This window comes from Homo sapiens, chromosome 1 (assembly GCF_000001405.40).
Source record: "Homo sapiens chromosome 1, GRCh38.p14 Primary Assembly".
In the NCBI taxonomy this organism is placed as follows: domain Eukaryota; kingdom Metazoa; phylum Chordata; class Mammalia; order Primates; family Hominidae; genus Homo; species Homo sapiens.
The window spans coordinates 28,426,534-28,444,155 of record NC_000001.11 but is presented as its reverse complement, the minus strand read 5'-3'; the positions used below and the strand labels follow the sequence as shown (position 1 = coordinate 28,444,155).

Here is a 17,622-nt window from a genome sequence, read left to right as displayed (position 1 = left end):
ACCACAATGAGGTATCATCTCACCCCAGTTAGGAGGCTATTATCAAAAAGACAAAAAGTAGCCAGTGCTGGTGAGGGTACAGAGTAAAGGGAACACTATACACTGTCGGTGGGAATGTAAACTAGTATAGCCACTATGGGGAACAGTATGGAGGGTCCTCAAAAGAAAGAAAAACTACAAATAGCGCTACCATATGATCCAGCAATACCATTACTGGGAATATATCCAAAGGAAAGGAAATCATTATACTGAAGAGATATCTGCACTTCCATGTTTACTGTAGTACTACTCAACAACAGCCAAGATATGGAATCAACCTAGGTGTTCAACAACAGATGAATGGATAAAGAAAATGTGGTATATATACAAAATGGAATACTATTTAGCCATAAAAAAGAATGAGCCAGGTGTACTAGCTCACAACTGTAATCCCAGCACTTTGGAAGGCTGAGGCAGGAAGATCACTTGAGTCCAGGTCCAGGAGTTTGAGACCAGCCAGGGAAAGAGAGTGAGACCTCGTTTCGTCAAAAAATAAAAAAAACTAGCCAGGTGTGGTGGCATGTGCCTGTAGTCCCAGCTACTTAGGAGGCTGAGGGGGGAGGATCGCTTGAATCTAGGAGGCTGAAGCTGCAGTGAGCTATGATTGTGTCACTGTACTCCAGCCTGGGTGACAGAGTGGGATTCTGTCTCAAGAAAAAAAAAAAGAATTAGCTGGGTATGACAGTGTGCACCCGTAGTCCCAGCTACTCGGGAGGCTGAGGCAGGAGAATTGCTTGAACCTGGGAGGTGGAGGTTGCAGTGAGCCGAGATCGCGCCACTGCACTCCAGCCTCGGTGACAGAGTTGAGACGAAAGAACGAAAGAAAGAAAGAAGAGAGAGAGAGAAAGAAAGACAATGAAATCCTGTCATTCTCAGCAACATGGATGGAACTAAGGACATTATTTTAAGTTAAATAAGCTAGGAACAGGAAGTTTAACACCACATGTTCTCACTCATACATAGAAGCTAAAAAAAAGTTGATCTCATAGGAGTAAAAAGTACAACAGAGGCTACTAGAGGCTGGGAGAGATAATGGGAAGGGATGGGTAGGGAAAGATTTGTTAAAGAATACAAAATTACAGCTAGATAAGAGGAAAAAGTTCTAGTGTTCTATGCCACTGCAGAATGACTATAGTTAATAATATGTAGTTTCAAATAGCTGAGGAGGATTTCAACCTTCCCAATATAAATAAATACATGTTGGAGATGATGAATATGCTAATTACCCTAATCTAATCACATCATACATATGGAAATATCCATTATGTAGCCCATGAACAGGTACAATTATTTTCAATTAAAAAAAAAATTTGCCAGGCACAGTGGCTCACACTTGTAATCCCAGCACTTTGGGAAGCCAAGGCAGGCGGATCACTTGAGGTCAGGAGTTTGAAAGCAACCTGGCCAACATGGCGAAACCCCGTCTCTACAAAAATACAAAAATTAGCCAGGCTTAGTGGTGGGCACCTGTAGTCCCAGCTACTCGGGAGGATGAGACAGGAGAATCACTTGAACCTGGAAAGCAGAAGTTGCAGTGAGTCGAAATCACGCCACTGCACTCCAACTTGGGTGACAGAGTGAGACTTCATCTCAAAAAAAAGTAAATAAATAAATACACAAACAAACAAACAAAAACTTTTTTTTCTTTTTTTTTGAGACAGAGTCTCACTCTGTCGCCAGGCTGGAGTGCAGTGGCACGATCTCGGCTCACTGCATCCTCCGCCTCCTTGTTTCAAGCGATTCTCCTGTCTCAGCCTCCTGAGTAGCTGGGACTACAGGCACGCGCCACCATGCTCAGCTAATTTTTGTATTTTTAGTAGAGACAGGGTTTCACCATGTTGGCCAGGGTTGTCTCATCTCCTGACCTCGTGATTCACCCGCCTTGGCCTCCCAAAGTGCTGGGATTACAGGCATGAGACACTGCGCCCAGCCAAAAAAATACATTTAAAAAATAAAAAATAAATTGAAAAAATTCTTCGGTCTTGTGCCTAATTTAAGGATATGTGATAATTAGCTAGTTGTTTTAATATGACACATAGTAAAGAATTTTGGTGAGCAAAAAAACAGTTTTTATGTTCATTAAGAACTACAAAGTAGGATTTGAAAGTTTGTGTTTCTTTTTCTTGAGACAGTGTCTCCCTCTGACACCCAGGCTGGAGTGCAGAGGTACAATCATGAGTCACTGCAGCCTCAACCTACCAGGCTCAAGCGATCCTCCCACCTAAGCTTCCCAAGTAGCTGGGACTACAGATAAGTACCACCACAGTGGCTAAATTTTTATTTTTGTAGAAACGGTGTTGCCCTATGTTGCCCAGGCTGATCCCAAACTCCTGGACTCAAGTGATTCTCCTGCGTCAGCCTCCCAAAGTGCTGGGATTATAGACACGAACCAATGCACTCTGCCCTGATTGCAATGTTTTATCTAGATAAATCTACATGCTTCTCCTATGAACGTATTTTATTTAATTTTTTTCAATGAACTGATGAGAACTTATTTCCTTGAATGGATACCACAGCATAGATTCCTAATGTACATTCAAATACTCAGTTCACCAGTTGTTAGAAAGATCCTACAGTAGAAACTCTGGTTGGATATGGTTATAACATCTCATAAATTTGCATATGAATCCTCATGCAAAGGTTATTTATTTGAAAGCAGACTCTTTGGTTAATAGCGCTGGCCTTCCATTACAAGTCAAGGGAATCAATTAACTTAAAGGAGTGGGTCCTTTTTTTAACTGCAGGACTGGTGGCTCACACCTGTAATCCTAGCACTTTGGGAGCCCGAGGTGGGAGGATCAATTGAGGCTAGAGTTCGAGACCAGCCTGGTCACGACAGTGAGACCCCATTTTCACACACACAAATATTTTTTAAGTAAAAAAAAAATAAAATTAAATTAAAAAAAAAGAAGTATGCCTTAATCTTTAAAAAAATTTTACAAATATTTTGGATACTTTTTCATATTTTAAATTCTCAACTAGAAGACAAACTTCTTGAGGGCATAGACATGAATAATATCTACATAGGGGCCTCTATGTTATTCACAGTGCCTGAAAGTAATAATAAATCAATTCAATATATTCATTCATGTGTTTTGCATCAGTTGACTTGCTAAATCTAGTACTATTAATTTCAAAGCTCAAAACTAAGTGCTGTATTATAGGCCTAGAATAGTAAACAGATAATTTAGGTTTTAATTTACTTTGTATATTTATCATTCCAAGTAAAATGGTGAGATTTTCCAAACAGCTACCCACATAAAGGCTTTGAAAATTAAATTAAGAAACTGTTGTTTGGTGAAAACCTTTATTGGAATTGGTATAGTCCTCAAGGTTTTCAGTTAAGCCTTCATAACCTGGTCCTGATCTGCTCAAACAGAATACATCCTGAATTATAAATAGCATAATAATGGAGTCAGTCCATGAAAACTGCTGATAGTCAACTACTTATTATCTAGGTAATAGGAAATAAAACCCCAAAATTAAATCCAGAGGAAACATAAAAAACTTAGTTAAGCTCCTGATTTCTATTTCTTCCTCAAATGTCTTTTATTAGGGCTACTGGTAGGAATAGAATTGATGAATTTCAGCTACTCGGGAGGCTGAGGCAGGAGAATGGCGTGAACCCGGGAGGCGGAGCTTTCAGTGAGCCGAGATCAAGCCACTGCACTCCAGCCTGGGCGACAGAGTAAGACTCCGTCTCAAAAAAAAAAAAAAAAAAAGAATTGATGAATTTGATTCTTACTTTTTTTCAGAAGCATACAAATACCAAACGTTACTCAGATGAACTTTTTTTTTTTTTTTTTTTTCTTTTTGAGACGGAGTTTCGCTCTGTCGCCCAGGCTGGAGTGCAGTGGCACGATCTCGGCTCACTGCAAGCTCCGCCTCCCGGGTTCACGCCATTCTCCTGCCTCAGCCTCCCGAGTAGCTGGGGCTACAGGCGCCCGCCACCACGCCCAGCTGATTTTTTTGTATTTTTAGTAGAGACGGGGTTTCACCGTGTTAGCCAGAATGGTCTCGATCGCCTGACCTCATGATCCGCCTGCCTCGGCCTCCCAACGTGCTGGGATTACAGGCGTGAGCCACCGCGCCCGGCCTCAGATGAAGTTTTTAATACAGTATATAGATCTTAGATGGGCATTCTTCTTAAATACCACCACTCACCACTAAATTTTACTTGCTTTACAATTTATTGTTTGTCAAAGCCCTTTCATTTCCATCTCATAGATAAATGCCTAGCATTGAGTCCTTACTATACTTGCTAACAAACAACTAATGTTTGGCGTAGAAACCACAGGAGAATTTACAGCCCAAAAGTGAGTTATTTATCAAATATAGGAGAGTGTTTAATTCTGGAAACAAAGAAGCAAAATGTCATCAGAAGGGAATGCAGAAGAGAAGGATAGTGTGAGGTTTATCTTTATGTTCTAAATTTCATCTGTTAGGCTGGGGAGTGGCCCCAGATGATTCTTTATATTTTTCTTTATACCTTTTTCTATTTATGAAACATTTCATTTTTTTAAATGAGTTAATGAATTGATAAAGACACAGCCCTAGTGATCAAGGTAAAGTGAGTCAAGTCCTGACTTCAGTTCTGAAAATCTGTTGCTGAATGACTCACTTTGTGATCCATGTGCCTCAGTTTCAATAATACATGAAAAATACTGAAGATATTTCATCTAGGAAGCTCTCAGGTGAAAATACTACCTTTAGAAACAAAATCTCACTACATTATGAAACATTTGGGAGTGTTACCTGTGTTTCCACACTTTATGCTTTTTTTTTAAGTCACCAACATTTTTTGTTTCTGAAAAACAAAAAACAAAAAATGCAGCCTAGGACTGAACATGTTTTCTGCTGCTCCATAAATCAAAGTGAAGGTATAAATCTTTCTTAAATATTATAATGTCTAGAAATGATTCACAGGCTTTCCCTAGTTTTGCTTATACTTAAGCAACCCTTTAATGAACATCTGCTTAAAACTGTTTTTCCCAATTTATGATTGTCATATAAAACCCTACAAGATTAGGAAAATGAGCTTGCAGTGACAAGTGACTACCATTTCACATAGAAGATTTGAAACTCTGAGCTATACTCACAATCAGCTTGCTCTCTAGCTATCCCTTAGTAACATTTCAAATGTAAAGTACTAACTTCAGAAAAGTTTATATCAAAGTGTTGACTTAAGAGAAACGGAAACACTAGTGCAATGGAAAATGCCTGAGACTTATTAGGAAAATGTATAACCAAGTCTAAAAACTTAATTCTTAAAAGTGGTTCTGTCTATAGAAGTCAACAGTTCTATTTTCCAAGTTCTGTAAAATACTAACAAAATATCTCTGAATTCTAAATAAGTTTCTGTAGCATTTATCTTTAGTAACGGCAAGAAATTAACAGATAATTCCTTAGCAATATAATATAAAAAACTTCAAAGAGATCAAGTAAAACAAAACTGTGAGCGATAAATTAATAAACTGAATTTAAGTTTTTAAGTTTTAAAAAACTTAATTTTTTAAAGTTTCTCGCCATGTTCCGCATGACTTCATTCATTCTTCACAAACATAAACATTTCAAAGTTGGGATCATCAACATTCTCGTGTTTAACTTCACATAAATACTCAAGTTCACCTGTAAATCTGCCTTGCTTCTGTCAAGATTTTCTGTTTCTCTGCCTTCTATTACTCACCAACTGCATCTGGATTTACCGGTCTGGAGACATCAGCTTGTCCCATGATTATATTGTCTGATGTATCTCACGACAACAAACTGTCCCGGACAAAAGCAAACTTTTCATAAAAGATAAATCCACATAAAGAGGGGACATGCGGTCCTCTTTCAGTGTCACTGCCAAACATCAGGAAATGGCATAAGGTCAGTTCATCTGCTGAAGTTTCTGTTTCCCATACAGCCTGAGCACTTGCAGTTCTTACAAAACTGTCTTCACACTGGCACTCTTCACACAGGAATGCCTGTCATTCCAGAATGCACACTGTGTAGAGCTGAAGTGCAGGAAGGGGAGGAGACTGCCAACCACATTCTGGCTGCTGACTGGCATAGCCCAAAAGTCCACACCCCCGTTCCTGACTTTTGAGCTTGGCTGCAACGCTCCAGGCTCTGAGTCACAGAAGAAAGGGAGCCTGCTCAAGAGTACACCAAAGAATTTACAAATTTAATCACACAAAAACACCAGGATGGTTTTGAGTAAAAGGCTAATAGGAGCAGTAGTCCATTCAAAGGTGTGTTTTAGACACAGGTTTACCTCAAAAGTATCAGATTTCACTGTGTTATGGACTGAATGTTTGTGTCCCCTTACAATTTATATATGGAAATTCTAATGACCAATGTGATGGTGATAGGAAATGGGTTCTTTGGGAGATAATTAGGTCATTGAGGGTTTTAAAGCCCTCACTAATAGGATTAGTACTTTATCAAAAAAGACCCAGAGAGTTCTCTTTTTCCATCATGTGAGGCTACGCAAGAAGACAACTGTCTGGAAACCAGGAAGAAGGCCCTCACAGATACCCAGTCTCCTGGCACCTTGACCTTGGACTTCCCAGTATCCAGAACTGTTAGAAATAAATGTCTGTGGCTGGGCCTGGTGACTCATGCCTGTAATCCTAGCACTTTGGGAGGCCAAGGCTGAAGGATTACTTAAGCCCAAGAGCTCGAGATCAGCGTGGGTAACATAATGAGACTCTGTCTCTATAAAAAATTTAAAAATTAGCCAGGCATGGTGGCATGTGCCAGTAGTCCCAGCTACTGGAGGGAGGGGAGGTGAGGTGGGAGGATTGCCTGAGCCCAGGAGGTGAGTTGTGAGCTGTGATTACACCACTGCACTCCAGCCTAGGCAACAATGCAAGACCCTGTCTCAAAAATAAATAAATAAAAATAAAAGAAAGAAAGAAATGTTTGTTGTTTAAGCCCCCCAGTCTATAGTATTCTGTTATAATAGCCTGAACAGACTAAGACATGCTGCTTATTCTAAAATTTTATTTCCTACCTGTAGGTGGGCATGCCTAAAGCAAGGTGAGATCTATGTACTGGGAATTAATAACATTAGAAACAGTATTTTAGGATTGAATATACCTTTTCTGAGAATACAAACAAATATTTCTGAAAATCTGCTTACTAAAACAATAAACGAAATAAATATTTGGAAGGTATTATATAACAGTCTCTTCTTGCTAAAACTCAATAATTTCCATATGATCTTGGGGAATAAAAAATTACAAAGAGTAGCCCTACATGCTGGGCATAATACATGGAAAGATCAGCTAATCACATGCAGCAAATGAACGTCCAGTTTGCACATTGATTTTTCCTTTTTTATCCGTAACTAACTTACATATAGCCAAGTACATAAATATTAAGGATACAGCTTGATAAATTTTTATTTAGTATACTAACACTAAATTTTCTAAATGTAAAAAAGACACACATAACACAACCTTAACATAACCTCCACATAACCTGGATTATTCCACTAACATCTGAAGGTAAAAGAGGAAGCTAACAATTCTGAGTAATATATTAAGGAGTTTTACACTTGTTACTGCATTTAATCATCACCACAACTAACCATGCATTGTGAGGTATATTTATTTACCCTATTTTCAGGTAAGAAAACTAGGGCTAGTAAGGTCAAATCCTGTGTCTAATATCACCAAGCTAGTAAGTACCAAAGCCCTAATATTCCTTCAATAAAAGACAGCTACCACTGGGTGGAGTGGCGTGCACCTGTAGTCTCAGTTACTCAGGAGGCTGAGGTGGGAGGATCACTTGACACCAAGAGTTTGAGTCCAGCCTCGGCAACACAGTGAGCCCTGTCTCTAAAAAAAAAAATTAAAATAATTTTTTAAAAAAAGACAGCTACCAAAAAATGGGAGTTTTTCATTTAAATCTTTATTCTCCAAACTGAGATCCCAGAAAGATTTCTAGCATCTGAACTTTCCTGTACTTAGCTTGTCCTTGGTACAATCCCTTCTCTATTATCTTAGCCCCATTATCTGCTTTTGATAGAGAAAAAACAGCAAAGGTAACAAATAAGAAAACCTCAATGCTAAGGCATCAGTAAGGGAAAAAAGTACAGAAACATTCAGACAACATTAAATTGTTAATACTGGTAGTAATTAGAAAAACATTATGATGTTGACCATTAAAACAGGAAAGAAAGTAAAAGGAAAAATGCACTGAAAGCACAATTCAATAATGCCCAATACTTTGGAACCTAGGTACTTATACTTATTAGCCTAAAAGCAGACCATGAGCAAAAGCAGTTTCCACTATTGTAAAATGGGAATGCAAAAGGTGGCAATGCATTGCTTGTCACTCAGGAGGTGCTCAACATATTGTAATTAACAACATCGTTATCACCATCATCATCATCATGGAACTAACACAGTATATTGCTTAAGAGCATGAGCTTTGGAGTCAGATTGAAATTTTAATTCCAGCTCTACCACTTATTAAGTGTTAACACTAGACAAGTTACTTCACCTCTCTAAGTCTCAGTTTTCTAGTATTATAAAAGTATACAACAATTACTAGTACAAGGCTGGACGTGGTGGCTCACGCCTATAATCCCAGCACTTTAGGAGGCCAAGGCAGGCAGATCACCTGAGGTCAGGAGTTTGAGACCAGCCTGGCCAACATGGTGAAACCCTGGCTCTACTAAAAATACAAAAATTAGCTGGGAGTGGTGGCACATGCCTGTAATCTCAGATACTCAGGAGGCTGAGGCGTGAGAATCGCTTGAACTCAGGAAGCAGAGGTTGCAGTGAGCCATGATCATGCCACCGCACTCCAGCCTGGGCAACAGGGCGAGACTCTGTCTCGAAGAAAAAAAAATTGTTAATACAGGGAATTTGTAAGGATTAAATGACATGAACAGAAATAAAGTGCTTTGTAATGTTCCTGGTACCTGAAAACCTCTCAATAAATGCAAATCGAGAAAGGAGGGGCCAGGTCAAGAGTATGACTCCAGGGAGCAAGTTGGAAGAAGCAGGCCAGAGAGAAAGTCTGAACACAACCAGTTGGTGTATAGAAATATTAAGCAAATGGAAGGACCCAGATAAAAGCATTACCTTGAATATTTGGGTAAGTTCAAACTGGGCACATTGAAAATACACACACACACACAGCCCAGAAACAGTACCTTCTAATCTAATTTATGTAGACATGACCATACAAGAGTATAACAAGATAGATTTATGGATCTAGGTATAGCTGCTAAAACCATCTGCCAAATTTAAATGCCAAAATAAAAACGACCTGCCAAATGTAAAAGGCCAGGCACAGTGGCTCATTCCTATAATCCCAGCATTTGGACAGGCGAAGGTAGGAGGATCCCTCGAGCCTAGGAGTTTGAGACCAGCCTGGGCAATATAGTAAGGCCCTGTCTCTAATAAATAAAATAAAATAAAAGCCAAATCTTGGCATGGCTCACTGCTGATTCTACGATATTGTGAGAGTGTCAATAAAACTTAAAGAATGAAAGGGGCTGGGCACAGTGGCTCATGCCTGTAATCCCAGCACTTTGGGAGGCCAGGGTAGGCAGATCGCAAGGTCAGGAGATTGAGAACATCTTGGCCAACATGGTGAAATCCCGTCTCTACTAAAAATACAAAAATTAGCTGGGCTTGGTGGTACGTGCCTGTAGTCCCAGCTACTCAGGAGGCTGTGGCAGGAGAATCACTTGAACCTGGGAGGCAGAGGTTGCAGTGAGCCAAGATAGCGCTACTGCATTCCAGCCGGGGTGACAAGAGTGAAACTCCATCTCAAAAAAAAAAAAAAGAAAGGATTCTTAGCAATCTTTTGGCTCAATTTCAATCTCCTACTTTTTGCAGAAGGAGGAAACTGAGGTTCAAAGAGGTTAAATGCCTGCTCAGAGCCAGGACTAAAATCCAGGTATCCTTAGTCTGACTCCCGGACTTACTGAAACTCTTGTATAAATGGCCAAGAATTTTTAAGCTCCAAAAGAAATATTTATTTTCCAAGGAAGTCCATGCTCTACAACTAATCTCTTAGAAATGCTAAATTTAGACAGGTGCAGTGGCTCACGCCTGTAATCCCAGCACTTTGGGAGGCCAAGGTGGGCGGATCATGAGATTAGGAGTTCAAGAAGAGCCTGACCAACATGGTGAAACCCCTCTCTACTAAAAATACAAATATTAGCCGGGCGTGGTGGCGGGAGCCTGTAATCCCAGCTACTCAGGAGGCTGAGGCAGGAGAATGGCTTGAATCCAGGAAGCGGAGGTTGCAGTGACCAAGATTGCACCATTGCACTCTAGCCTGGGTGACAGAGCGAGACTGTCTCAAAAAATAAAATAAAAAACAAAATAAAATGAAATGCTAAGTCTAGGCCCGGTGCAGTGGCTCACTCCTGTAATCCCAGCACTTTCAGAAACCGAGGCGGGCGGATCACCTGGGGTCAGGAGTTTGAGACCAGCCTGGCCAACATGGAAAAACTCCGTCTCTACTAAAAATACAAAAAGTAGCCGGGTGTGGTGGCTGGCACCTGTAGTACCAGCTACACAGGAGGCTGAGGCAGGAAAATTGCTTGAACCTGGGAGGCAGAGGTTGCAGTGAGCTGAGATTGTGCCAGTGCACTCCAGCCTGGGTGACAGGGCGAGACTGTCTCAAAAAAAAAAAAAAAGAAAAAAAGAAAAAAAAGAAAGAAAGAAATGCTAAGTCTGTTGCCTATGTGCCAAGACACTACATGTTCCCTGACCATCATGTTTCATTTTTCTTCTAACAATCAGTATTTACTCTGTGCTAATTGGTAAGTAGACAAGCAGAAAGGTAGGACGATACTGGCACACTAATGACATTAAAATTAACAATAAAGCCTTGAGTTCATTTTAGTCTTCCATGCATTATGTTTTAGAAATGTAAAAGGAAGAATCACTTTAACTTTGTAAGAAGTAGACAGCTATCTCTTGTTATTTGTTAGCTAATAAGATACTCCCTTTTTAGAGTACTTATTCTCCCCAGCTTAGTCCCTCAAGGGGAAGTAGCAGAATTAAAATTTGTGATTCTCTTCCTATTTTACTTAGGGAAAGAACAAGAAACCTTAGGTCAGGTGCAGTGGCTCACGCCTCTAATCCCAGCACTTTGGGAGGCCAAGCGGGGGTTGCTTGAGTCCAGGAGTTCAAGACCAGCCTGGGTAACATGGTAAAACCCCATCTCTACAAAAAAAAAAAATACAAAAATTAGTCAGGCATGGTGGCACATGCCAGTGATCCCAGCTACTTGGGAAGCTGAGGCAGAAGGATTGTTTGAGCCCAGGATGCGAAGTTGCAGTGAGCTGAGATCGTGCTATTGAACTCCAGCCTGGATGATAGTGAGACCCTGTCTCAAAAAAAATAAAACACCTTAGAAAAATAAGATTTAATAGGCAAAGGAATTGAAGCTACCATTGAGATTTAGACAGCACTTAAAGCCCTCTAATGAGAGCCTTTTTTCATTTTTATTTTTTTTTACAGACAGAGTCTTGCTCTGTCACTTAGGCTGGAGTGCAGAGGTGCGATCATAGCTCACTGGAACTCCTGGCCTCAAGTAATCCTCCCACCTCAGCCTCCGGAGTAGCTAGAACATCAGGCATGTGCCACCCACCCAGCTAATTTTTTAATTTTTTTTTATAGAGACAGGGTCACACTATGTTGTCCAGGCAGTCTCAAACTCCTGGACTCAAGAGATCCTAGTGGGAGAAAAATTTAAAGTTTTACTCAAAAAAAAAAAAAAAAAGAGAGAGAGAGATCCTCTAGCCTCAGCTTCCCAAAGTGCTGGGATTATAGGCATGAGCCACTGCACCCGACCTAAGCCTTCCTTGTTTTATTAAAGAACTGTTTCTAATTACCACATATAACCTATAAATTGCTGGGCATACCAAAGATATTCTTTTTTTTTTGATACAGAGTCTCGCTCTGTCACCTGGGCTGGAGTGCAGTGGCACGATCTCGGCTCACTGCAACCTCCACCTCCTGGGTTCAAGTGATTCTCCTGCCTCACCCTCCTGAGTAGCTGGGATTACAGGCGTGAGCCACCACACCCAGCTAATTTTTGTATTTTTAGTAGAGATAGGGTTTCACCATGTTGGTCAGGCTCGTCTCGAACTCCTAACCTCATGATCTGCCCACTTCGGCCTCCCAAAGTGCTGGGATTACAGGCGTGAGCCACTGTGCCCGGCCAAGATATTATTTTCCTAAAAGCCCAGATTTGGACAGTTCCACAGGTAGTGCTCAACAGAGAAACTTAAGATCATCAGCTAACAGCACAAGTTGCTCCAAAGCAGGCCACATAAATGTGAACTGAATTTCTCATCAGGAAGCCATGAATTGTTCCTTCCCTCCATTAAGCTAATGCTGATTTGTTAAAATTGTTTATAAGCAGTAAGACACTGTGGAATATCTTTCCCAGGTTCCATCCAGAAGATGTGGAAGACTTTATCTTCCTTTTCCTGAACAAAGTATAGTTTGAATTGTCTTCTTATATGTTAGTCATTGGGCTTCATTACTAAAGACAGACTGAGATCACGGTAAGCTTTTACTGTTGGTGTCTGACTCAGAGTTCTTTTTGGAATGTGGTGTTTGGTGTTTTAAATTCACTATAAAAATTGTATTGTAGTGGCTGGTGCGGTGGCTCACGCCTGTAATCCCAGCACTTTGGGAGGCCGAGGCAGGTGAATCACGAGGTCAAGAGATCAAGACCATCCTGGCTAACATGGTGAAACCCTGTCTTTACTAAAAATACAAAAATTAGCTGGGCATGGTGGCACGTGCCTGTAGTCCCAGCTACTTGGGAGGCCAGAATGGTCTAGATCTCCTGACCTCATGATCCACCCGCCTCGGCCTCCCAAAGTGCTGGAATTACAGGCATGAGCCACTGCACCCAGCCCCATGTTTATATATATATATATATATTTTGGTTTTTTTTTTTTTGAGATGGAGTCTCGCTCTGTGGCCCAGGCTGGAGTGCAGTGGCGCGATCTCAGCTCACTGCAAGCTCCGCCTCCTGGATACACTCCATTCTCCTGCCTCAGCATCCCGAGTAGCTGGGACTACAGGCGCCTGCCACCACGCCTGGCTAATTTTTTTGTATTTTTTAGTAGAAACAGGGTTTCACTGTGTTAGCCAAGATGGTCTCGATCTCCCGACCTCGTGATCCGCCTGCCTCGGCCTCCCAAAGTGCTGGGATTACAGGAGTGAGCCACTGTGCCCAGCCTATATTTTTAATAAGCAGTTTACAAGATCAATCACAAGAGTAGAATGCTTTAAATTAAATGTATTTTTATGCTGAAGTATGAATACAAATTGGATTACCTAGGAAAATCAGCTATTGACTATTTTAATTATAGCTCCCTCAGCTTAATTCAGCATACTTCTTTCTTATGGCTTGAGATGTCTGAGGGAGGTAAACTCCAGTGAGGGGTTAGGAAGAAGTCACTTTCCTCTAGGACGTGATGACCAACAGAAATTACTAGCAAATCACACAAATACATATTCACATCAAAGACTAATTTTCAACCTCTGAATATATAATTAGGGGAAAGAGCAGCTTTCTTTTCTTTACCCCATGATCTACTCTAGGCTGGCTGGCACTGGATAGTTAAGGGAGGTAACATCCTACAATTGATAACATGTGCCTCAAGCTACATGTGGAAATTAGAAAGCCTTGCTGGTAATCTGCAAACTCTTCATTTCTCATCTATTTGTACAAATTGCTCCCTTCGCCAGGAATTTCTCTCCTAGATATATTTGGCAAATTCCTACCCATCCATTAAGAACTGTCTGGAAGGCCGGGCGCAGTGGCTCATGCCTGTAATCCCAGCACTTTGGGAGGCCGAGGCGGACAGATCACGAGGTCAGCAGATCAAGACCATCCTGGCTAACATGGTGAAACCCTATCTCTACTAAAAATACAAAAAAAATTAGCCTGGTGTGGTGGCGGGTGCCTGTAGTCCCAGCTACTCGGGAGGCTGAGGCAGGAGAATGGCGTGAACCCGGGAGACGGAGCTTGCAGTAAGCCGAGATCACGCCACTGCACTCTAGCCTGGGTGACAGTGCGAGACTCTGTCTCAAAAAAAAAAAAGAACCTGAAAGAGTCAGCCATAGGAGGGATGACAGAAGTGAGAAATAGGTACAAGCATCAAGGGATAATACAGGAGAGGTAAAGAGCTAATCATAACTATGGTTTTCTGGACACACCACCAAAAAAAAGTTTTTTTCTCTGACCTCAGGACAAAGCTAGACACACTTACACCTACCAATATATGTTGGCACAGTGCCTAAGTTATCATACTCTGTTATTAAGTACACCAGCCTGAAATGCAGTAATCTTCAGACTTCTCAATTAAGCTAGAAATTCCTTGTGGGCAGGGCCCATGATGTATTTATCCTTAAACTCTCAATGCTTGTCACATTTGATGTACAGTATACACGCACCGAGTATTATTAATCTTGAGTATAAGGAAAGAAACAGCATTCTTTAATTTTAAACTTTTCTCAGAGATTCTATTCTACCATAGACTATTTTACCCTGGCAGAATATTCATCCACTATATTCATCCAAGGTAGGCTATTCATCCACTATTCTACCATGGATAGAATAGCCCATCATCTCTACATTTCTTCCGACCTCCAACAGTGGAACTTTTCTCACGGAGGCCAGAAAAAACGTCGAGACCATAGACTACTCTATCATTCCACACAATCCTGGGAGCTGCTGTGAAACTCTTGCTTTTGTGGGGAAAAAATGGTATGTTCATGTGGTTTTTGAGAACATACTGCTTTGCAAGTAGTAAGAAAGGGGATAGATTTGTCATATGAAGCTTCACATACTCCCTCATTTAATCACAACTGTGAGGCTCAAGATCCTTAGTAGGAAGTGTTTGTACTTCATGTGAACTAGCCTGAAGAACAGGCTGAAAGCGACAGAAGGTTAAAGTTAAGGCAGGGCCACTGGAATCACCAGATACTCATGCCACTTACCACAAATAATACTGGTTTATTTATGTGGCTAGCTCACTGGATGTGAAAAACAAACAAACTGCCTCCTATTCTACATCAAACGCTGTAACTCTTGTTCCCTCCCTTGCCTCCACTTCTAGAAGGCAGCATGGCTTACCAATGGAAAAAAGCACAGGGTTTACAGTCATATAACTATGTAAAATCTCAGCTTTCCCATTTACTGATTAGGTTACTCTGGAAAGTTACTTTACTTACATGCACTTCAGTTTACACATCTGTAAAATGAAGAAAACTGCTCATAGAGTTATGAGGATTAAATAAGAAAAATTTCCAAAGACTACCTAATGATTAGAGGTGCTTAATATATTTTGGCTCCTCTCCTTCCATTTAGATTCTCTATATAAATGAACCCCACCTCCCCAATAGTTTAAATTAAACCACCACAGTTCTTTAGGAAAAACTGGAGAGGTTCTGTCATGCTTTTATGTCACAGAAGCTACATTATTTCTTCTTCTCTCAATAATGGTAGGCATGAAGTAATGTATATGTTTAAAACCTACAATATGTTGGACTTTTATTAGCGAGAGAAACTGAAATTATGCCAGCAGGATGGCTTTCAGCTCCACAAAATGAAAGATCACACTCAAAGAAACTGGAGATATAGGGATTCTGCCTTGTTGCTTTCTCTTCAAGTTTTGGTTTTCAGGCCAATAAGCTCTTGAGGATATCCCAGGGGATAGGGAGAAGATTCTGGAACTGAGGAAGGAGTTATAAGAAATCATAATCAACAGGAAAGTTTCAGTTAATATTGGATAGGGATTTGAGGAGTTCCTTAAGGTCCAGTAAAGTCAGTGGGAAAGGCAGGCCTAGAAGAAAGTGAGAACTAGCTGAATGGAGATGAGAAGATGTAGAAAAAGTAAGTGAGCAAAAGGTTCATATGTTGTGGGATGAAGGAAAAGGGGAAATGAGAAGAGGATGTAAATGACACTGATGGAACTTTAAACCACCATGTGACATCAGACAACTGATTCAAATCATTGCCAAGTCCCTTCCAACCAATGATTTAACCGATTCAATATTCTGTTTTAAATAATGGTTCAAAGAAATGTTTTTAGTTTTCTAAATTTTTTTCTTGTCAGTGATTTGAAGCTCACAAAGAAATAAATGTTTTACTATGGAAAGGGTAGTGACCATAGTGTACTCTATATAACTAATCTAACTCAATGCTTGCTATATGCAAAATAAGTGTTAAATGAATTAGATTATAATTATTGAGAAACCACAACCCTCACTTATTCACTCCACAAATACTTGCTGAGTACCTCTAATGTGTCAGGTATCATTCTAGGTGTTGGGACACAGCAGTGAATACAACAGGGGAAAATAATCCCTGCCCTCTTCCCATTACATTAGATGGTGACAAGTACCACAGAGTAAAAAAGGGAGGAAAGGAAAATAAGGTGGGCTGAAAGGAAGGGTGCTAAATTATAAACTGGGTGAGCGGAAGGGCCTCAGTGGGAAGATGATGTATAAGTGAAGACCCGCAGTAAACAACACATTCCTAAATTAACTTCCTCTGTCTTCTTCCTAATACTATAGCCTTTTTATTTTTTATTTTTTATTTTGAGACAGGGTCTCGCTCTGTTGCCCAGGCTGGAATGCAGTGGTGCAATTTCAGCTTACTGCAACGTCCGCCTCCCGAGTTCAAGTGATTCTCCTGCCTCAGGCCCCCAAGTAGCTGGGATTACAGGTGCGCACCACCATGCCTGGCTAATTTTTGTATTTTTAGTAGAGACGGGGTTTCACCATGTTGGCCAGGCTGATCTCAAACTCCTGACCTCAAGTGATCCACATCCCGCTGCCTCCCGAAGTGCTGGGATTACAGGTGTGAGCCACTGCGTCCGGCCAAATATTATACTGTTATTGGTTCTAATGGCAGCAAAACAAAAAGCAACATTTCCAAGCATACTAAAAGTAAATAAGAATTACATTATTTTAATCATTGGTAGAGAAGTATTGGTTATCAAACTTGCTGCTCAGTTCTCAAATGTCTATGTGTACTGTCCAATACTGTGGCCACTAGCCACACATGATTATTTACATTTGTATTATTAAAATGAGATACAATTTACAATTCAGTCTCTCACTTTTACTAGCCACATTTTAGGTGCTCAGTAGCTAGCTACATATGACTACACATGGGAGAGTGGCAGATACAGAACATTTCCATCTTTGCAGAAAGTTCTACTGGACATGCTGAACTTAAAAGGATTTTTAAAGCCCACTCAGAATTCTTCCACGGCCAGGTGCAGTCCAGGTTCATTACTGTAATCCCAGCACTTTGGGAGGCCAAGGTGGGAGGATTGCTTGAGCCCAGGAGTTTGAGACCAGTGGGGGCAGATCTTGTCTCTATTAAAAAAAAAAAAAAAGTCTTCCAGTAATAACAGAGTATCTCAAAGAACCAATTCCACGTTTCTTTTTTTTTTTGAGACGGAGTCTCGCTCTGTCGCCCAGGTTGGAGTGCAGTGGTGCAATCTCGGCTCACTGCAAGCTCCGCCTCCCGGGTTCACGCCATTCTCCTGCCTCAGCCTCCAGAGTAGCTGGGACTACAGGCGCC

General features: G+C 40.8%; 1 protein-coding gene across 6 annotated transcripts in view, besides 1 other annotated feature; it reads right to left on the bottom strand.

Annotated features, from left to right (window-relative positions):
- Nucleotides 1-17,622, bottom strand: part of PHACTR4 (phosphatase and actin regulator 4) — a 130,625-nt gene that overhangs the window by 56,209 nt on the left and 56,794 nt on the right. The window contains exon 1 of one of the 6 annotated variants that reach the window (NM_023923.4): nucleotides 5,726-6,006. The exons of the other annotated variants lie outside the window; for them this stretch is intronic. Within the exon in view, the coding sequence (NP_076412.3) occupies nucleotides 5,726-5,771 (46 nt within the window). The 5' untranslated portion in view covers nucleotides 5,772-6,006. Of the gene's footprint in view, nucleotides 1-5,725; nucleotides 6,007-17,622 lie in introns of those variants that run through there. 6 annotated transcript variants of the gene reach the window in all.
- Nucleotides 6,604-6,898: a silencer, noted in NCBI's record as "tiled region #2241; K562 Repressive DNase unmatched - State 8:EnhW". NCBI's record gives its function as "represses a minimal TATA promoter and a strong SV40 promoter by Sharpr-MPRA in K562 cells {active_cell/tissue: K562}" and the evidence as "EXISTENCE:reporter gene assay evidence [ECO:0000049][PMID:27701403]".